This window comes from Homo sapiens, chromosome 11, assembly GCF_000001405.40.
Source record: "Homo sapiens chromosome 11, GRCh38.p14 Primary Assembly".
Classification (NCBI taxonomy): domain Eukaryota; kingdom Metazoa; phylum Chordata; class Mammalia; order Primates; family Hominidae; genus Homo; species Homo sapiens.
The window spans coordinates 78830802-78853610 of NC_000011.10; the positions used below are offsets into that span (position 1 = coordinate 78830802).

The following is a 22809-nucleotide window of genomic DNA, read 5'->3' on the forward strand; positions in this document are numbered from 1 at the left end:
AACATCCACTGAAAGTCAAAGAAGTACTAGAATATTTGACCTCTCATTCATCCCATCTAAACTTCTCTGATTTTTAGTGCAGATCCAAGTTTTTAATAATAAAGTGATGAATTTAGACATGAAATAAGGTAACAATAGTAGCCATCACCACCACCTGTTATTGAGTCCTATGTGCTAGGCACTGTGATAAACCCATTAAACTCATACATTATTTCATAACTCTTACCCCAGCATTAAAAGTTAGGTATGGTTATCCCTACTTTTCAGATGAGAAAATGGAGGCCTAGAGAAGTGAAATGACTTGCAGATCCCAAAACTGTCAGGCTTCCCAAACAACTAGTCACCGAAACCCTACTATGTGCCATGTGCAGGCAATTAAGGGATTAATTGCTTTCTTCTCTGGTTCACCCACAACACTGCCCAAGTTTCATGGCAGCTCAGGAAAACTGCACTGGCATTAGTCATCTGCATGTCTGCCTGCTGTACTGTAACACGAGCTTGGAGGACCAAGGTGGGACCTAACTCCCTCTATGGCCCCAGCTCCCAGCTCCCAGCTCCTGGCCGGGTGAAGAGCAAATGCTTGGTCAGTTGTGATATGATGAAGGCACAGCCTCTGCCCTCTACTCTCACAGTCTGATGCACAATGTGCTAAGTGCTTGCGGTAATAAATGCGTAAAGCCCAGATGATGGAGCAACATCTCAGGGAAGGCGAGGAAGGCATTGTCACTCAACCTTGGAGACTGGGCAGATATTCTCCAGGCAGAGAAGGGCACAGGGAATATTTAGAAAGAAAGAACATTACCTTCAAAGGCAGATGTTTTCAGAATTACAGGTAGTGCAGCGGGGCTGGCACACAGGAGGAGCGGCAGAACTGAAGCTGCAAAGGGCGTCAGCTGACAGATGCCAGTAATGAAGGACAAAAGAGACTTCCCATAGTTTGAGCTGAAGGCTCAAAGCAGCTTTATTTTAGGCAAATCACAATGCCTACTATTGTAAATATTTCTCCTCTCTGAACAGTCTTTTGAGACTGACAATAACCAGGCTGTTGGAACTACAGGTCTGGGCCTAGGGCTCTGACTCCCTCCAGAAAGCTTCCTCATTCGAACCCCAAGCCAGTCAATATACCCTTGCTTTGGGATTCAGACTAAAAGTACAAATTAAACAAAGTAATATGAGAGCCTATTGCAAGTCAGGCACAGTGCTGGTACATTGCATTGTGTCATTAATCCTTCCAAGGCTCAGGGAGGATAACTGATGTTCTCAAGGTCTCACAGCTGGGTGGCTGCAGAACCAGGATGGGAACCCCGCTCTCATTCCCAGCCAGTCTCAGGAGGTTTCCCGCATACTTCAAGCAGCTTCTCATCTTGGATTTTTGTTCAGTGCCTTTTCCTTTCCTTTCTTCCTATCCAAATCCTTCCGGGCCTTCTTGGTCCACCCTAGTCTATAGTGACCCTCATGGTTGGCTTTCTCAAAATTCCCTTGACAATTCACCTTGTGCCATATAGTACTCCCCCAATTGTTGTTTTTAATGCTGTCAACGTTAAGTCTTCTCAGGCTGTGAGAAGCTCTTAGAGGACAGGGACCTCAGACTTGCACTGCCTTTGTCTCCCTTTTGGGAGCAGCATAGTGCTTTGCGTATGCACGCACACACACAACACCAATACATATGTTTGTAAATGGATTTGCTTTTGCTTTTTATCCATATTAATAGAGTTGGGCTTTAAAAAGTAAAATCTAAATTTGGACAGTTGTGTGACTTTCATAATTGTGTGAAAGCAAATATGAAAGAGGAATTTGGAATAAAAATAATATTAACATCTATTGCACACTTAGTGGGGAGCCTGCTCTGAACACTTTGCATGTGTTAACTCATGTAATCCTCGTAATAAGGGCAGGGCCTATTATTAATCCATTTCCCAACTTGTTGCCTTTGCTAAGTCTGCCCAAGGCAATGTAGCTAGTAAGAGCAGGTGGAGGAATTTGAACCTGTGTACTCAGGCTCCAGAGCTTATCCTCTGAACCCGTACAACAGTGTATGGAAAGGCTGCTAAATTGTCGACATGTTCCAATCACCACAGTATCCTTAACTCGGATTATTCTAGATAATGAATGCCTAGAAACACAGACTCTCTTCCTGGAGAGAAATAAATGCATGCTTATTTGGGTCGAATGCTGGGTGTGGACCTTGCCCTCAAATAAGCCATCCAAATGCACGGTGCTAAGTGAGGAGATGTAGAAGAAACCCCACAGGTCTCCTACAGTTCCTACCGCTGCCTCCAATGCACATTCTTCAATGTCCTTTCTTCCTTGACCTCTGTAGCATTAAAATGTTTTCCCCCTAAATCAAAATAATATATGTAAACAGTTTAAGAAGCCAAAGAATACTATGAAAGTTTATAATAAAAAATAACAGTCTTCTGCTTCACCCACATACCTGAGTGCCATTCTCTCAACTCCTTTGCTATTTCTTCCAGAATTCACTTCAACATATCTAAATAATGTGCTTATACAGCAATTTTTGATTGTCATGTGATGTTCTCTACTACTTCCCTCCATTGCATTATCTGCCACTTCTGACCAGTAGAATCTAATGGAAAGGCGTCATTTTTTGCTTACTTAATTTCCTATGTTTCTATTAATACCTCCACCCAAATTAGCTGACAGAACTATAAAATCCCTCTGACATAGACTTTCCCGCATGGTCAAACACACCAGGTCATTTATCTGACCCACAGCTGTCATCTGCCCAGAGCCCTTGCTGCTGGAGCCCTCTGCCTGGCCACAGTCTGGTCAGGTTGTTTTCCAGGCCTGCTAAGCATTCATCATTTGTGACTTCTTATCACCTCCTTCTTTATTAAACCTTTTGCTTCCTGGACCCCCTTCCTTGGCTTACTTTATCATGTCAGCAGAGTGCATTTTCCAGCTGCTGTCTGAGAAAAGGTGAATCGGGGGTATGATTTTAAGATCTTGCATGGCTGACGTTATCTTTCTTTTACTCTTACACTTGATTGATAATTTGGGTATAGAATTTTAAATTGGGAATAATTTCCCCTCAGAATTCTTAAGGTTATTCATCTTCAGGCTCTTCTCTAGTGATGTCTATTGGCATCTGCTTCCTAACTCTTTGCATGTAATCTCTTCCCTTTCTGGGAGCTTTCAGGAAGATGAGTGACTTTGAAAAAGTTAACTAGGTTGGCCACTTGCAATCCGTCAGCCCATGTCCCTCAGCTATGGGAAATGTGCTTGTATTATTTCTCTGTTCTTATTAGTCAGATTTTGGACTTGCTGAATTGATCCTTTAGTTTTCTTACCTATTTTGTTCTATTTATTTTTAGCACACCTCCCCTTCCATTTATCTTTCAACCCATTTATGGGAATTTTAACTTTCCTATTTCTAATGTCCAAGAGTGCTCTCCTTTTCTCTGATCTATACCCCTTTGTGTATATGTTCTTGTTTTACATTGACAGTAATATATTTTCTTTCATATCTTGACAGGCTATAGTCTTTTTCTCTTTGAAGTTCTCTTCTCCTATATTATTTTGTTTCCTTTGAGTTCTTTTGTTTTCCTATTTGTCTTGGTCTTTTCTTACTTGCTGGAAGGTTTCCTCAGATGTCTGATGATCCTCTGTTCATATTTAAGAGTGAGATGCCAAAAAGCTCTGTGTCAACTGCTGACTGTCATCGTAAGGTGATGGAGTGGGGACCCAGGGATTTTGTGGAGGATCCACAGAAGGCACTACCAGAGTCTTTTGGTCCCCCCACTCTTCTGCTGATTTCTTTTCTAATCTCCTTCCTTATAGAGGAGATATGATACATTTGGCTGTCAAAAATGGGATCTAGAATGTCATTTTCAAAATTCAGTTGGTACTTATTTCCTCTGTTTTTGGTATGGTGACTCTCCCTTCCCTGAATCTGGAAGCTCCTTGTTGATATCTCTACGGAACAAGCCTCCGATCCTCTGCCAGGGTGGGAGAAGACAGTCGCTTGTCCATGTGAGATGAGGGAGGAAACTTAAGGGTTTCATTGCTGCTGCTTCCACGTCACATAGACTCTGAATCCACCCGTTTCCAGCTCTGTGCCTCACCCCTGCCTTTGCTGTACCTGGAGGTTTTCTGTGACTCTGCTTCTAATTGATACCTCCCTCAGCAGGGGCTCAGCATTCCGTGTCTCCACACTGCTAACTCCATCCACTCTTTTTTTCAAAAGTCTGCTGGCATCTCTTGCTGGCTCTTGTCTCTTATTCTGTTTGTCCTTGTGGGTTTACTCCTGCTTGTTTTAAATCATTACTCTTATTATAGTGGGACTCCAGGGCGGTGAGGCATGTAACAGTCAACCACAAGCTCCTCTCAGTAGCATTTGACATGATTCTCTAGCTCCTCTTTGCTGAAGCTCTCTTTTCCCTCAGCTTTAAAAACAGCACACTGGCCGGGCACAGTGGCTTATGCCTGTAATCCCAGCACTTTGAGAGGCCGAGGTGGACAGATCACAAGGTCAAGAGATCGAGACCATCCTGACCAACATGGTGAAACCCTGTCTCTACTAAAAATACAAAAATTAGCTGGGCATGGTGGTACACACCTGTAGTCCCAGCTACTGGGGAGGCTGAGGCAGGAGAATCACTTGAACTGGGGAGGCAGAGGTTGCAGTGAGCTGGGATTGTGCCACTGCACTCTAGCCTGGTGACAGAGCAAGACTCTGTCTCAAACAAACAAACAAACAAAAATCAAACAAACAAAAAAAGCCAGCATGCTTTCCAATAATCCTACCACTGTAGGCCCTAGTCCTCATCCTCCTTTTCTGGCTCTTCCTCTAATTATTAATTGTTGGTGATCTTCAGGCCTCTGTTTTAAACCGATCCCCCCTTCTCACCTAGCTCTCTCTATCCAATTTTTTGAGGTCTCAGCTTAGATGTCGCTGTCATGTACTTAATATAAACCTTCCCTGACTCCTACCCCAATTAGGTTAGCACCCCTTGTTGGTGCACTCCTAGGCCCCATACTTTTCCTCTGAGCTCATCACAGTCACATTACTGATCAATGTCTTTCCGGACAGACTTGAAGATCCACTAGGGCAGAGTCCCTGTCTGCTTGTTCACAACAGCAGCCACAGCCTGACCAGAGTGCAAGGCATATAGAAGGTGCAAAAGAAACACATACCGAATAAACACATTCACAAAAATACATGAATGAATGAAACGAGAGAAGTGCATTTAAATCTGGTCTTGTCACACTTGCTGTGTGATCTTGGACCAGTGAGAAAGCCTTTCAGGGTTGGGGGCAGTATGGTGGCTCATGCCTGTAATCCCAGTACTTTGGGAGGCCGAGGTGGATGGGTCACCTGAGGTCAGGAGTTCGAGAACAGCCTCACCAACATGGTGAAATCCTGTTTCTACAAAAAATTAGCTGGGCGTGGTGGCGCATGCCTGTAATCCCAGCTACTCAGGAGGCTGGGGCAGGAGACTCGCTTGAATGCTGGAGGCGGAGGTTGCAGTCAGCCGAGATTGCGCTGTTGCACTCCAGCCTGGGCAACAAGAGTGAGACTCTGTCCCAAAAAGTAAACAAAAAAACAAGAAAAAAACCTTTCAGAAAAGAGCCTTAATTTTTCTGAAACTCAGTTTGCTGTGTCTACTAAGTTGGGACAATAATCTTACCATCCTATTCAGTAGGTTGTGTGGATCAAAAAGGAAAAAAGAAAAAATGGTATGTCATTGTGTTCAGTAAGCTAAACTCTTACACAATGTAGGGGATTATTACTGTAATGGTAAACTCTGTTACACAGAAAATTCTTGTCTGTTTTGGGGATGCGGATGTAGGAAACAGAACAGCAGGCTCGAGTTTTCAAATCTCAGGATTCTTTAAAATATGCTTTCTTTCTTAAAGTGAATCCTCAGTAAGCCTTCTCTGTATTTTCTAACACTAGGCCTTCAAGATCTAGAGACCATCTGGGGTCTTTTTTTTCCTCTCAAGCAAAACTGGTTTAGAAACATGGTGGGCCTTCATGGCTAATGGTTTTAACTTAATGCAATTTCTTAAACAACAAAAGCAAACAACATTGGAAATATTTAAAATATTTATATGCATACAGGTGTGTAACAGAGCTGACAAAACATACACGTGCCCATGTCACCAGGGGCACTTAAGTAATTACACTGGCAGGAAGACTTTTGCTCAACTCAGATCCTTTTCTGGTCCTTTACATTTGTTCATTTTATCACTTGAGCTAAATGGGGAGAGGAGGAAACTCTTAGAAAATCCTAGCTCTTAGAGGTTTTAGGGTTGACAAAAGTGTTGTCTTTCTGATATGGTTTGGCTGTGTCCCCATCCAAATCTCATCTTGAATTGTAGCTTCCATAATTCCCATACGTTGTGGGAGGGACCCGGTGGGAGACAACTGAATCATGGTGACAGTTCTCCCATACTGTTCTCATGGTAGTGAATAAGTCTCATGAGATCTGATGATTTTATAAGGGGTTTCTCCTTTGGCTTGATTCTCATTCTCTCTTGTGTGCCACCAGGTAAGATGTGCTGTTTGCTGTTTGCCTTCTACCATGATTTTGAGGCCTCCCCAGTCATGTGGAACTGTTAGTCCATTAAACCTCTTTTTCTTTATAAATTACCCAGTTTCAGGTATGTCTTTATGAGCAGCATGAAAACAAACTAATACATTTTCACATCCCCATCAGAATCTTTGAAGCACCACATCAGGCTCAGCTTGGTAGATCCACTGGACTCCAGTGATCAACCTGATGAACCTTCTCCTGACCATACCCTGTAAATGGTGCCTTGGCTTCCAGGGAAGGAAGTGGGCAGGTGGAAAAAGCAATGGTCTCAGAGTTGAAAGACTTGAATTCCAGTTCAAACTCTACCTCTAAATATGTGGATTAGGCAAATTACCTTGTTATTAATACACATGTTTATATTGTAAACATAACTTCTGTTTTCTTTCTCTTGGACTGAAAATTATAAGCATTTTCCCATAGTTCAGACTTTTATGATAATTTTAATGGCTATATAATATTAAGTAGATATACTATATTTTATTATATGCTTTCTTATAATTAGACATTTGGATTGTTTCCAAATTGCCACAATTTTAAACAATGCTGTGATAAGTGTGCAGCTTTTCCTAGGTACTGGTTTATTTCTTTAAGAGATACTCTCAGAAGCTGAACATTTTTATGGTTTAATACAAAATGCCAAATTGCTTTCCCAAAGGGTTGTACTGATTTATGATGCAACTAGTAATATATATTGGTATAGTTCCACCGCAGCCTCAATGGGATTGGATATTAACTTGAAGGATTCTAACTTATTAGGCTAAAAAAAAGATACACCATTATTTTAATTTGTACTGCTTCAATTATTAGTGTGGTTAAACATATTTCATGTATGTTTATTGCGTACTATACATTTTTTAAAGCTTTTCTACACATAAGCTTTAGCCATTACCTGTAAGATCATAATGCCTTTTTTCCTCCCACAGCATCTGAGCTTTAATGTAATATACATATTAACTCTTGGTCACTCATGTTTACTGCATATATTTTCTTACTCTGTGATTTTTCTTATTTTGTAAGTTTTATAAGACATGTGGAAATTTTACATATTTATGTAAACATTTCTCAATCTTTTTCTTTGTGGTTTCTTCAGTGACTTTAGTGCTTAAAAGTCCTCTTCGACCCAGAGATATGTGAATATTGGGTTTTACCCTCTTCTAGCTTGACTTTTAAATATTTACCTCTTTAATCCGTCTGAAATTTATTTTGGCATATGGTATGAGGTGAGGTCTGAATCAGAGGTTGAAAATGAAAATTCCTCTAGGGGGCAGGCAGGTAAGTTAAAGGAGTAAAGCAGGCCAGGTACATGTAAGAAAAATGGAGGAGGTGGAGATGGGTGAATTACAGAGTATGAGTTCCATCCAAAGGGGGCAGGGCCTTGTTCTCACAGGAATTTTGGTCTTCTAATTTTTTAAGGGAAGCCATAAACCTGTAGTTTTATGGAGGGTCATCCAATGTTAAATAGTGGGCCAACACTGCAGGCTAAAACTCCTTCTCTGTGTCTTATCAACTGCATCCATCTCACTGAATGCCACTTTGCAGACTCGGGTTACATTTGATGCTTTTCCAAGTTATTGCAAAAACATTTATTGATCCAGCCTTCTCTTCTCCATTAATTTGTAATTCTTCATTTTTCAAATAATAAATTTTTACATGTAACTGGTAATATTTGTAGTACTTCACTAATCTGCTTGACTCCTATTCTCATTTATTAAGGATTTATGATATATTAAGATATTTAAAGATGAGTACCCTTTCATGATTCTTCTTCCTGTAATTTCTTCCATACTTTCATCTGTTTATTATTCCAGATGAAGTCTTTAGCCATGCAATCAAATCTCTTCAATTCCCTTTAGGATTCTGTTTGACATTCCATTAAACTTATAAATTGACATATTTAGAGTATTTCACCTTCCCATCTAGGAACATGTTATAGTTCCTAATTATTCATGTCCTGTTTTATAGCTCTCAATAAAATTTTGCAGTTTTTGTCACACAGGTCACATGTAGTCCTCATTCAGATGATACTTTAATTTTTATTGATTTTTTTTGACTGGGGCATTTTTCATTATATTTCATAAGTGGTTGTTGCAGGTATATGGGAAATCTATTGACTTTTGGAAAAGCTATCTTGTGCCCCAGTTACAAGTTCTGAATTCCTATTAAGTAAAATAGTTTTTCAGTTAATGTTTTTTTTTTCTCTAGGAATACAAACACACCCTTCACAAATAACGATGACTTTTTCTCAGCCTCTTGTTTCTATGTCATATCTTATCTTGGACAAAGCTTCTAAAACAATGCTAACTAATCGGTGCACCTTATTTTATTAGTGATTTTAAAGATAATTTTTCAAACATTTAACCAGGAACCATAATATTGACTTTTGACTAAAAGCTGATGTTCTTATGATGCTGTTTCTTTTTCTGTCTTTCGTTTTCAGTATTTCTATGACTTAGTATTGTCCTCAGAGGTGTTTCTGTTACTTAGTGAACACAAAAGACACATCTCAGCACGGTGCATTCAAAAGTGTTGGGGGCTTGCAAAATACATGTGAACCAGATACACCTGCTGGGGTCCCTAGCTCTGCCTCTGCCTGCCTTCAACACAACTCCCTGCCTAATCTGGAAAATGGAGATAGTAATTCTGACTGCATAAGTTGGTTATGAGAATTAAAATAAGTTAACGTAAATAAATTGTGCTTAGGGTAATATTTGGCACCTAAGAAAAGCTCAACAGATTTCACTTTCTTCCTCCATCACTTAAAAGAAAGAGATAATGGTAGAACAATCTCCCAAATGCAAGCTTTCCAAGGAATAGCGTGCACTTACAGGCCTGAGAAAACTCAAACTCTATTTGTGGAAAACATCACGTTAGCCTTCTGCTTTAGGTCACAGGGCTTTTTCTCACTTTCTCAAAATTATACAGTCCATCCCTTGTACCCTGACTAGACTCTCTTGGCCTATGACACAAATGAAAATAAAAAAAAAATCAGGCTGACATGTAATATGAACCAGGAATGAAACAAACTGGGCTTCTTTTAGCCGAGAACATGAGCATTGCTTAGATAAAGGCATGAACAAGCAGCTACTCAAACTAAAACCAGATGCTCAGAGGTTTCTGGCTTACAATTTGTTATAACCCTTCATATAACACTCATTGTGCTGGCGTTTCAACAGAAAGTCTTCTGCTCTGTTTAAGCAGCAAGAAACCAGCCCTAACCTCCCTCAAATTTGCCATCACTAAATCTTTGCTTAATTGTAAAGGAGCTCTTCCCCCAAACAGAGATTCTTGGTATATACTCTTCCGCCCAGAGAAGTGTCAGGGAGTGACAAAGCTCGCACCCTGCAGCATCCTCAGTCTGAACTGTCTTCCCAGTGTTGTATGAAAGGAAACACGGGGGTACTAAGGAACTGGGTACTGACTTGGGAGGGGCCCAGGAATGAAAGCCAGTGTGGATAGAGCATGATTCTTCAGGCAGACTGGCCTAGATTCAAATCCTGGCTCTGCTCTTACTCAATGTGTGACTGGGCAAGTTTGTTAATTTCTCGGAACCTTGTTTCATCATCTCTATAAAGAAAATAAGAGTTGTTCCTGCTTTCCCAGGTCTATTACAAACTTAAAGTTAGGTAATGCAGGTATAACACTTAGCATGCTCCTGGGACCCTGTAAGCCCTCAAAAATGTTAGTGCATGTTACTGCCAATAACAATAGCGAACACTTATATAGCACCTATTACATGCCAGGCACTGTTCTCCATATTTTACAATTAACTCATTTTAACTTCATAATTACCTTCATGAGTTGGGTACTAATATTATTGTCATTTTTCAGATAAGGAAACTGAGGCACTGATGGGTTATCTTTCTTGCCCAAAGTCCCACTGCTATTAAGTGGCAGAGACTGTATTCAACCAGCTACCTGGCTTCAAATCCATTCTCTAACCACTAAGCCACACTGCCTCTCTTTATTGTTATATTGCACACTATTTTATTTAGTGCCACCTTGAGACTGCCTTCACACAGAAGGGAACACACACAATTTAGGCCATAAGTGGGTTACTCTGTCAGGCAATCCATTTCTGGAAAGCACTGCTGACCCTGAGATCAGTGTGAATCCTACCCTGTATCCCACTCCCCTCCACCTTCAAGGTTGATCTCATCTTCCTTGCCCTCTCCCCATCCCATGGGAAGAGGTGTGTCTCCTCCTTTCCTAGGCTCCTCCTTCTGCCTCTGCCTGCCATTCCATGCCTCCCACCTTCTTCCATTAGTCATCTCCCCTCTCTCCTGGGCCTCCAGTCTTCCCCCCTGGCTCCTTTCCCACAGCTGACAGCACGTCCAGGGCTTCCCCACCTTACATAAACCTTTACTTGAACCTGCCTCCTCCTCAGGTTACTCCCATCTGTCTCCTTCCCTGCTCTGTCTAGAAGTAACTGTTTCCACTCTATGCCTCTCATTCACTCCTGAACTCGTGGTGACCCTGCTTCTGCCTGCACCAATGGGTGGAAACTGCTCCCAATGAGGGCGCCAGTGACCTCCTAATGACCAATGCCAGCAGCTTCTTTGTAATCATCTTCCTAAGTTTTCTCTACTTTTTCCCGTCTGTCTTCTGAACGTTGGGGCTCCATCCTTAACTCCTTGCTTCTTGGTTGATACATCTCCTCAGGTACTCTAAGCTCCACCTGCTACTCTGTTACACCCACACTCATGCTGTCCACCAGGTAACTGTCTCAAATTCAGAGCTATCTCCAAGTCAAGACCTACTTACCCATCTGCCTATTAGTAACTGCCAACAACTAACTTCCACTGGGAAGTTCCATTAGCAGCTCAACAACTAACTTCCCCTCCTTATTTCCTAATGTAATTAGTGATATCACCATCCATCTATTCTCCAAGGTCGAAACTCAATGCCTCTCCCTTACAAGGTAAAATACAAGTGGTCAATAGAACCAGCCTATAATGTCCTGGAATGTCTTCCCTCCTTTATACAAAAGCGGTGGCATTTGCTTTAGTGTAGGTTCTCTTCTCTCATCTAATCCCACTGGCTAAAGAAACAGTCTTCCAATTGGTCTCCCTGTCTCATTTATATATGTTGCTGCCAGCCAAAGATACCTATACAACACCCAACTCATGCTACATCTTCACTTAAAAACCATCCTGTGCTTCCCACTGCTTTCAAAACCAGACTTCCAAGCTGGCTAGCCAACAGAGACAAAGCCTGTCCCAGGCTGGCCTGAACCTCATTTTCCAGGCTCTCCTCTGGGTATCACCCTCTCATGTACTCCTCCTACTTCCAGTCTCCTGGACATACCAGGCACTCACACAACAAGCGCATACATGAGAGAGGACATGGTGAGAAATGTGTAGATATTAGGGTCAGACAGAACTGGATTCAAACTCTAGCCCCTTCACTAACTGGGTATTTAACTTCTGCCTAGTCATTTAAATATTCTGAGCTTCATTTTCCTATGGAGGGGTGGTAGGCAGAAAATATTTGCTTCATATGCCTATTGTAAAGGTTTGAAATAGTTTATGTAGGCCAGGTGTGATGGCTCATGCCTGTAATCCCAGCGCTTTGGGAGGCTGAGGTGGGAGGGTCACTTGAGGCCAGGAGTTCAAAACCAGTCGGGGTAACATAGAGAGGCCAGGCATAGTAGCTCACACCTATAATCCCTGCACTTTGGGAGGCCGAGGCGGGTGGATCACCTGAGCTCAGGAGTTCAAGACTAGCCTGGCCAACATGGTAAAATCCCTTCTCTACTAAAAATAAAAAATTAGCTGGGCATGGTGGTGGGCGCCTATAATCCCAGCTACTTGGGAGGCTGAGGCAAGAGAATTGCTTGAACCCAGGAGGTGGAGGTTGCAGTGAACTGAGATTGCACCACTGCACTCCAGCCTGGGTGACAAGAATGAGACTCTGTCTCAAAAACATAAAAATAAACATAGAGAGATCCTACTTCTACAAAAAATAATTTTAAAAAATTTAGTCAGGTGTGGTGGCACACATTTGCAGTCCTAGCTATTTGGGTGGCTGAGGTAGAAGGATTGCTTGAGTCCAGGAGTTCAAAGCTGCAGCGAGCTATGATTGTGCCACTGGACTCCAGCCTGGGTGACAAAGCAAGACCCTGTTGCTAAAAAACAAAAAAAAACAAGAAATAGTTTATGTTAAATATCTAAGATAATACTTAGATACAGTATGCATTGAACAAACAGTAGCCAAAATTATTAATTTTGCCAAGTAGTTCCAGAGAAGAATTTGTAAAGATTGAAAAGCCCCGAAACTAGAATGGGACATTGGAGAAGTTCCTTATGAACTCTGAAGAAAGCCAAATTTATAAGAACAAATAAAAGTTAGTGCTTTGGAATGTTCTGGAACTCACATTTCCATTTTTGAGTTAAGGAGTACTGGCAAAGAAAGATGGAATCTAGCAGCCTTGGGATGCATAAAGTCCTGAGGACAGAAAGAGCCTTCCTTAGCCAGGTACCTGGCAGTGCCTTGAAAGGGTGGCTGTGCCTTCATTCCCTCAAAGCTGCCGATAAGAAGTTCATGCCCATAACAGAAGCTTCTAGCTTGCAGGGAAAAACATCAGTGATGCCTGACCTTCTTGCTAGGTGTTCACTGACCCTCTGATGGGGGTCTTCCATGTTCCCTGTCTTGTCAGGCAGCTGGGCTCCAGGGGAAGTTACTGGAGTTGGATTCGAAGACTCGGCTTTATGTTGTGTGAGCCACTGGTCACAGACTGTTTCCTCATCTTTAAAATGCAAATAATGATCCTTTCCAGCCAGTTCATCTGTGTGGTTGAGCAGAGACTGCTACTATCTTATGGTCTTCTCAATTCCTCCTTGTTATTAACTGTGTCCCCTACCAAATTCATATGCTGAAGCCTAACCCCCAATGTGACTGTATTTGGAGATAGGGCCTATATGGAGATAACAAAGGTTAAGTGAGGCTCACAGTAGTGGGGCATTAATCTGATAGGACTTATGTCCTTATAAAAAGAGGAAAAGGCCGGGTGCGGTGGCTCATGCCTGTAATTCCAGCACTTTGGGAGGCCAAGGCAGGCAGATCACGAGTTCAGGAGATCGAGACCATCCTGGCCAACATGGTGAAACCCCGTCTCTACTAAAAATACAAAAATTAGCTGGTTGTGGTGGCGTGTGCCTGTAATCCCAGCTACTTGGGAGGCTGAGGCAGGAGAATCGCTTGAACCAGGCAGGTGGAGTTTGCAGTGAACCAAGATTGCGCCAATGCACTCCAGCCTGGCAACAGAGTGAGACTCTGTCTAAAAAAAAAAAAAGGAGGAAAAGACACCAGAGATCTCTTTCCCTCCATATATACACAGAGAAAAGCCCACATGAGGACGAGGACAAAGCAAGAAGGCGACTGTTGCCAGCCTGGAAGAGAGGCCTCACCAGAAACCAACCCTGCCAGTACCTTGATCTTGGATGTGCAGTGTTCAGAACTGTGAGAAATAAATTTCTATTTTAAACCACTCAGTTTGTGGTATTTTGTTATGGCAGCCCTAGCAGACTAACACACTCCTTTATTTCTTCTTTTTAGGGTGACTCTTTTCTTGTATTTTTCTTTCTGGATTCCCACTTCTGCTCTGGCCCCAAGTTGTTAATAATTATTTGTACACTGCTTTCCAGCTCACTAAGTACTCTTCTCAAAATATGTCCTTTCTGCCTCACAACCTCCTTCTACATGCCTGGCAGAGGTAGCAGCCCTCCTCTCTGCTCCCATGGAGCTCCCACAGACCCCTTTGTTGGCCCAGGCCACATTATACTAGAATTATTTATGAAAGGGTTGGTTCTCCCGATTGATTATAGGCTCTTTGAGGGCAAAGCTTCTGTTTTATTCACTGTGAAGCCTCTAGCACTCAGCAAAGTAGATGTTCAGCAAATGCTGAATACTTGACACATTTAGAAACACACTGAGTACCTACCACAAATCCTATGCTTTCACATCATTGTCAGATTCTCTAAAGTAAGTTTGATTCCCAAGGATAGATGAGTTTGGTGAGGGTAAGACTTATCCAAAATCCCACAGCTCATAACTAATACAGCCCGCATCTAAACCCAGGCTGGGCTGACTCCAAAGCCTTTGTCCTTTCCTCGGACCACACCATCTATCTGGTCAGCTCTACCCCCAACTGTACTCCTGCCTCCAACAACCTCAACTATCGACCACCAGTGCCAATTCCAGCAGAGATTCACATGTTACTTGCAGCTAGGTTATTCCTAAGAGGGTGTTACCGAACAGGCGGCCTCACATTTAATTATGTCCCACATATCAGTGGTGCTGTAAAGGGAAAGAAAAAATAATATCACTATGTGAGAACCCTCTCAAAGCTGCCGTTCTGTCAGTGGAAAAGCCAGCTGGCAAACGGGAATGAGCAACTGCCTTTAGCGACTGACAGAAAAAAAAAAGAGCTAAAAGAAAATAAAAATTTAATCATCAGTTATAAAAATTAAACCACTGCTGACAAAATATCTTCTATCAGAATCTACATCTGAATGGAGGATAGGAGCAGGGGTTCCTTCAACAGGAGTGAGTACCAGGTTAGAGATGTTCTATAAATAAGTCAGATGAGCGGACTGCAGGCACGTGGCCAGCACACTGTGAGCCTAGGAGGTGTGATGCCATGGTCTCTAAGACCCTATCTGTCTTGCTGATTCTCTGACTACGAGAGGGTATAAAGACACACATGGATGTCACCACTCCAGAAACTTGGATTTAGACCTGGTCACTGAGATGTAAGAGTAAGAATGTGTGTTTTGGATTGCTAACCTAACTCTGCTATTTCCTATTTATGAGATCTTGGCAATTAGCATTAGATCTCTGAGCCTCATTTCTGAATTAGGCTTCTACGTGTTTCTCTGGATATCTTTTCTAGGACGTGTGCTTACCACTTATCATTATTTATCTTTACATATGTGTATATATATTTGATGATTGTATTTAAACTTGAGAATCCATCTCAAACTGCCTCAGACCTGTCTATGAACACCATGGAGGCAGAAAGCATGGCTATTTTACATACCAGTGACAGTACATGCCTGCTCAGAACTGGCACATGAAAGGCAATGAGTAAACACGGGTTGAATAATGAACAAATGAACAGATGCAGTGTCTAGGTCTGTCTGCAACTGGCGTCTACCACTCTGGACTTGCTCCTGCTGTCTGTCCCCGTTAAAGCATCATGCAAGGTGCTTCGAGGCATAATGGAAAACGTCCATGGTTCCTGGATGATACAAAGAGACTGAACCAAGCCATTTTCCTTCCACCTCAATTACATGGGCAGCTTCTCCTTTTTCTCAGCTTCGCTTACCCTAACTTACTAGCCCATGAGAAACCTCAAGGCCAAGTACCATGTCTGCCTCCTGGCTATACCCAATGTCCAGACAAGGGTCTGGCACACAGTAAGAGGGGGTCTCAGTTGGTCTTTGTTGAACCAAACAGACCTGATGAAGTCTGTGGCAGACACTGCTATGTGCCTACCCCATATTCATTTCCCTTCTCTCTGAGAGAACCCTAATTTTGTTGAGAGTACCAATGTAGCAAGCTAAAAATATCCCCTTCTTCAGACTTCCTTATATCTCTGAGTGTCCAAGTGACACAGCTCTGCCAAAGAAATGTAAGCTGAATGTTTTAGGAAAAATTCTGCTTTCCTACTTCCTTATCTTTTCTTATTTTTCCTGCCTGACATGCAGACATAAGCCCCGGAACTATAGCTACCATTTTATGACCATGAGGTAGCAAGCATAAAAACAGCAGCCCATCTCCTAGACAAAAAGTGTGCACCAGAACATCAAAACTCTACTTAAATGCTACTCTAGTGGGGATTTTGGTTATCTGTATACCAAATGCCTTGCTAAGTATTTCCCACAGAAAGACAAGCCTTTATTGCTTGGTTCCTGCAGTGTCCTTGGGCTACTTTTTCTTCTTTCCTGCCCTTGCAATTCCAGGTAAAGATTCAGAAGGTTCAGCAATCGAAGGTAAGATCCCAAGGGCAGCAGAGATGCTGGGGGTGGGGACAGTGGGGAGCCCTGCCCTTCAGTGAGCAGAGACAGCTACTGGCAGGGCTAGTCTCTGAGTCTGCAGATGTAGTGCTCTGATACTCCTAGCTCTCTTCCCCTCAGCAGAATTTTAGCCACAGTCTGTCTCCAATGTGCTGACCTGAGCTCCCTTGGCCTACAATTTCATTCCACTTATACCAGATTGCTCCAAATAAATCACTGTATCAGGGAGAGGTAAATTCACAGGGTGCTTTTCCAAAGAAGTGTTTCCATTAGAAATTTCACAAAGTGCTGCCAATGTCATTTACAAGAAGGTTAATTTATTACCAAGAGACCTCAATTCTTCATTGCTGTATTTATATCTTATAATATAATTCAGAGGAAGGGGACATAAGGAGAGGTAGAGAAGGGGCTTATTAAAAACCAAAAATCACTCCTCAATCATTTTTCTTAGTGTCTTCAATGAAGTAGTGCAGGTTTTTACACAAATTATGGTATATAATGTCAGAGATTTTTCTCTCCGGATCTTTGCAAATGCACTCAGAGGCAAATACCCAATCAAAGTAGGAGAAATAAAGAAATAGCACAGGCCAGTGTTCTTTGGAAAATCATGAAGGACCCAATTTTGGTGACTCTTGGAAGATAGGAACTTAGGTGAAGTATCGAGGCATACCTAGAGAAAAAGAGGAATGGATTGTAGGGAAAGCAAATGAAAAACACCACTGAACATCATTGAACAAGTCCTTTGTCCTTCCTCACTCCCTCCTTCCCTCCCTCCTTTTTTTTTTTTTCTTCTGAAGTCACTAAGTTCAATCCCAGTAACCTCCCTTGACCACATAAATTCATGAGCTCTTGTTCCGGGTCTCATCAGATAGACCTCTAGCTCTAATCATTTTATTCCCTTGCTCAAAAGCCTGCGATAGTGCCTAATACTTAAAGAATAAACTTTTTGCTTAGCGTGGCATTTAAGGCTCTCCTTGATAACTCATTTCTGCCCTTTAAGGCATCCTGGGCTCTAGTCAAACAGAACTGCTGGCTCCTTATAGCCAGCTCTTAATTTTCTGCCTACTGAACTTTCACTCATGCTGGTAGTACCTACTACCTGGAATAATTTCCTTAACACCTGCCCTCCCATTTTCCTTTTTTAAATGTAAAAATTTCACCCATTCTTTAAGGTCCAAATTAAATGTCACTTCATCCAGAAAGCCCTCCTTGACCCATCCAGCTAGGCAAGTCCTCACCTTCCTTCAACCCTCATGGGTCTTTGACCAGTGACTCCAGGAGTGACTGTTCTTACTCTTTTCCTTGGCTTAGAGCTGTTTACCGTATAAATCTTTCATCTCCCTTAATCTGGACTATGAGCTACTTTTGCCAGAAACCATGTCATACCTTCCCTGTATCCTCAGCTTGGGAAAGAGCAAGGATGCAATCCTTGCTGGATAATGGAAAGCAAAGAGGAAGGAAGGAAGGAAGGAGGAATAGAAGGAAGAAAGAAACTAAATCTGTTTCTAATCCCTGGACATAAAGAACAGACTGATTTACAGCAACCACCTGGATACGAACAAAATGACTCTTCTCTTCAATGAGCACCAGAGAGGCCAGAGCAAGTTTCTCGTAAAAATTCCCAGTCCCTACATTTTCTAACAGCAATTCTCATTTCTTTTCTCTAGGTTTCTAAATCCACTGCAGGGCACCTCTGTTATGCTCCAGCCTGGCTCACATTGCCACAATGTCAGGCTGATCTGTCCTCTATGCTTCAGCATCAGCCAAAATGAAAAGATAAGATGCTACCTGAAGAATGAAAACGAACTTGTTAGGTCTTGAGTTGCAAGCAATGCATACAAAGGTATTTTTACTTTTAAAGTTTTAGATGTGAGACTTTCCTCATGGTCTTCTTAATGACTTCTCAAGAAAACTTCTTGGGTTGATGTAATATGGTTATTAATAATGGAAGGCAAGGGGGAAATTACATTCCATATAATACAAATGGAAAAAATATTTAATAGTAACCGTGACAAATAGTGAGAGACTGTGGTATTGTGGGGACCTTAACTTTGGGCTAGTCAACCAAGCTTTCTGAGCCTTGATTTCTTCATCTGTAAAGTTGAGGTCAACATATCTATTGTCTAAACTTCTTGTGAGGATTAAATAACATAAAAAAGAGAGCTAAGCATGGTCCTCAACACACAATAGGTGTTCTGTAAATATTTGCTGAATGAATGAATGAATGAATAGATGGAAAAGAGAAGTAAGTGATACCAAAAACGGGGGTTTGATGCTGGGAAGAAGGCAAATTGCTAAAGGAGGAGGATCATAAGCTTTGGAGTCAGACAGACGCAAATTCATGTCCTAACTTTTCTTTTAACAACCCTGAACCTTAATTTACTCATCTGCAATAGGGAGGTGATAATAAAAATAAGAATAATCATCTCATGGAATTACTGCAAGTCTTAAAGAATGTATGTGAAAACCCTTTGCAAACTGCAATGAGTGAATTATAGTTCAGCTAGTGATATACATTCTCCTCCTTTATTCAACATTCTGGGGTCAGCTAGGCAGCCCACCTCGGCCCAGCCAGGACCAGGGTCAGTACCCTCAGATTCTGGATCTCCACCTGCAGGGAAAGCCTGTTGTTTCTGAAAAAAGCTTCCATGTTTTATTCTAAAACTTGCTTGGTTTCAGTGCTCTGTGTGTGTGTGTGTGTGTGTGTGTAAATGCATCTAGTTCACTGGGAGCTCTGTCAACATCAGGTCTCTGTGCGTATATATTTGTGTGTACGGTTTGTAAAGTGCTTTTAGATTTTTTAAAGGCAAAAGTTAAACTCATTTCATTTAAAATCATCAGCTGGATTGCATTAAATGGAGGAGAAAGCAAAAACATACACAATATAGCCATTTGTGAAACACAATTATTTCTCCTGTTACTTAATTACAAACAGACATAAATACTCTGGATTCTGACATCTCAGATCTTCTTAAATTCTAGATCTGCATTTTGACATATAATGAAGGAAGGGTCAGATTCCAATTTGTGTGTTAAGCAAACCCGAGAGTTACAATTATATATTGGGGCCATAATGACTTCACTAAAACAAGACCTAAACTTTTAATTAACCTGCCAAGACAAATTACTACTCATAGCTCACAAGTAATGATCACAGACAGCTGAGACTCAATGCCAGGGACTCTTGGGGAAAGCGGGATTAATAGCAACATCAGAATCAGTCTGTTTTTGTATTAGAGAAAAAAACAGTATTCATTAAACCATCACTGTAGCTTGAAGGGACACAGACAGGTCAGAAAGGCAGCAAGAGAAAGGTGGAAGGAGAAAGAGGATGGGAGAGAATATTAAAACAGCTTCCATTTATTGAGTGCTTGTGGTAGCCCAGAGCCTGTGCTAAGCACTTTCTATTTCTCTGTTTAATTTTCACGATGGGGATTGCAAAGTACTATTGTTCCATTTTCCAAACAAGAAGAATGAGGCTCAGAGAGGTGGCATGACTGTCTCTGATCACAGAGCTAACATGTGACAGTGGGGAAGGAAGGAATGGAAAGTAGTTCTCATAAGGCGTCTGTCTTCAAAGCTTCCTTGACAGAACACCAGAATCAGGATCCCCTGGGCTTCACCGCAGGCCTACTGAGTCATATTTTCTGGAGAAAAGGCCCAGGAATATGAATGTTCCCCTGGCTTCCCAGGTGATTCTTTTATTCAACAGTATTTGAGAACCATCTGTAAAGTACTATGTCTAACCCCTTGCCACTTAAAATGTGGTCCACAGCAGCTTCAGTATCACTGGGTGATGGTTGGAAATGCTGAATCTAAGGTCCACCCAGACCTGCTGAAGCAGAATCTGCATTTTATCAAGATCCTCAGGTGGTTCACTCAAGTCTGAGAAGCACGGTATGACCTATTGGCCCTAAAATACAGGGTTAAGAGGAAGTGAAGACAGGTGTCCACATTTAGGTGAGAATGGCAGAACCAAAGGGAAAAGAAGACCGTCTCCCTAATTATGAGAAGACAGGTTAGCAAGCTCTGACAAGCCAAGGGTTGGCAAAGATGCCTCACTGTGCCTATGGTTTATTCCTCTAAGATGTGTATCCTAATTAAAAGTGGCTTTCTTCTGGGGTTTGATTAATATCCTTTCATATTTATGCTAAGTTATTAAAAATAAGGAATTCTGATTGTAAAAGCACTTAGTTTTGAACAAGCACTACTCTATGCTTCTCTGTAAACCACGCTTAAGGGAAATCAGGCCACGAGACCATGAAGCTGTAACTCAAGCACCACCACGACTTGATGATCATGTCCCTAAACTGTCGTCATCCTATCCGGAGAGAAAAAAGAATCAGGGCCTGTAGCCTCCCAAACCCTGCCAAGTGACAGCCTAACAAGATGACGGCCAGACTGGGGCCTCTGATGACAGGGAACAGGCTATACTGTTAGCCTTAATGTCACCAGTGACTCTGAGCTGCAGCCTCAAATACCAGAATCCTGAAAAACTAAGAGCTGGGAACCCCAAGTGATTTGTGCAAGGTCAAAACCCAAGTTTGTGCTGGAGACTGAAAATGGAGCACAATCCCTGCCACAGTTCACAAGAAGGTATCCAGGGAGGAAACCAACAGCACCACAACTGCCTGGCAGTTGCTGCCGCCAATCCTGCCAGGGGAGTTCGTTCCCTCATTCACTGCACGACACTGCACCCCACTGGGCTGGGTGCCAGGAGGCAGACAAGATCCTGTCAAAGCCCCTGCCCTCTAGGCATTCGGAGTCCAGCGGCTCAGACAGACATCTCTAAAACAAGGACTGTACAAAGTGATAATTTCTACATCAGAGCTAGTTGCCTGAAAGCCTCCACCTCCTTCATTTTGCCAAGAGGTGAAATATTGAGCCTGTATTTAGAGCAGAAGCTTTTCAGCCACACCCTGTATTTAATGGGAAGATACTTTCTGTCTCAACACAAAGGGCAAATTTCAAGTAAGCAGGAAATGGACTGAAAATGACTCCTGTTGTTTAGAAGTAAGAACCAGGGGCTGGGCATGGTGGCTCATGCCTGTAACCTCAGCATTTGGGGAAGTCAAAGTGGGCGGCTCACTTGAGCCCAAGAGTTTGACCAGCCTAGGCAATGTGGTGAAACCTCATCTCTACAAAACATACAAAAATTAGCTGGGCATGGTGGTGTGTGCCTGTGGTCCCAGCTATTCGGGAGGCCAAGGCAGGAGGATCACCCGAGCCCAGGAGTTCAAGGTTGCAGTGAGCCGTGATTGAGTCACTGCACTCCGGCCCAGGCAACAGAGTGAGACCTGGTCTAAAAAACAAAAAGTAAGAACCAGGGTCTTGTAAGAGTTTTGGAAACCTAGTACCAGATTCAGAGATTTTTTGGGGTTTGTTTGTTTGAGACAGTGTCTCAGTCTGTCACCCAGGCTGGAGTGCAGTAGTATGATCATAGCCCACTGCAACCTCAATCTCCTGGGCTCAAGGGATCCTCCCACCTCAGCCTCCTGAGCAGCTGGGACCGCAGGCATGCACCATCGCACCTGGATACTTTTAATATTTTTTTTTGTAGAAAGGAGGATCTTGCTATGTTGCCCAGGCAGGTCTTGAACTCCTGGTCTCAAGCAATCCTCCTGCGTCTGCCTCCCAAAGTGCTGAGATTATAGTATGAGCCACCACACCTAGCCTGGATTCAGAAACTTTTATCAAACTCCATTTTTCCATGTCAGAGAGATTCCTAGCCAACGACTGAGACAGAGTTTTCAGGTGAACTCCAGACCACATAGAACTGTTGATTAAGCAGAAACCCCATTCCCAGGTGTTCTGTTTAATGGAGTTATATTCTTCCATAACTTTTATTTTCCTGTAGGGAATTTTTATCTCCAGACTATGTCATAGTGCTTCTAATATAAACTCAGAAAAAAATGTTTTCTGACCCGAACTGCCAAGACCACTGTGTCCTGCAGCACATTAGGGCAGTCTAAGAAGCAGACACATTCTGTGCAATGTATTGGTAAAGAAGAGAAACTCTTTAAATAGGGTGCCAGGCTTCCCAGACACCTACAGGCTTCTGAGCTGGCCCAGGGGCTCAGGGTGAACTGGGAGCTGAGGCCCTCTTCCACTGCGAGGGAGAGTGAAGGTGTTAAGCACTCATTTATTTCGCACATCAGGGCCCACTCTTTGTCAGAGATTAGGACATCTCTATTCTCAACAAAACCCCAGTCTGACTGATGGCATGGTTCATC

General features: G+C 42.4%; 1 protein-coding gene across 9 annotated transcripts in view; it reads right to left on the reverse strand.

Moving 5' to 3' along the window:
- TENM4 (teneurin transmembrane protein 4) overlaps positions 1 to 22809 on the reverse strand; it is a 788202-nt gene that overhangs the window by 177973 nt on the left and 587420 nt on the right. The gene's annotated exons all lie outside the window — the stretch shown is intronic.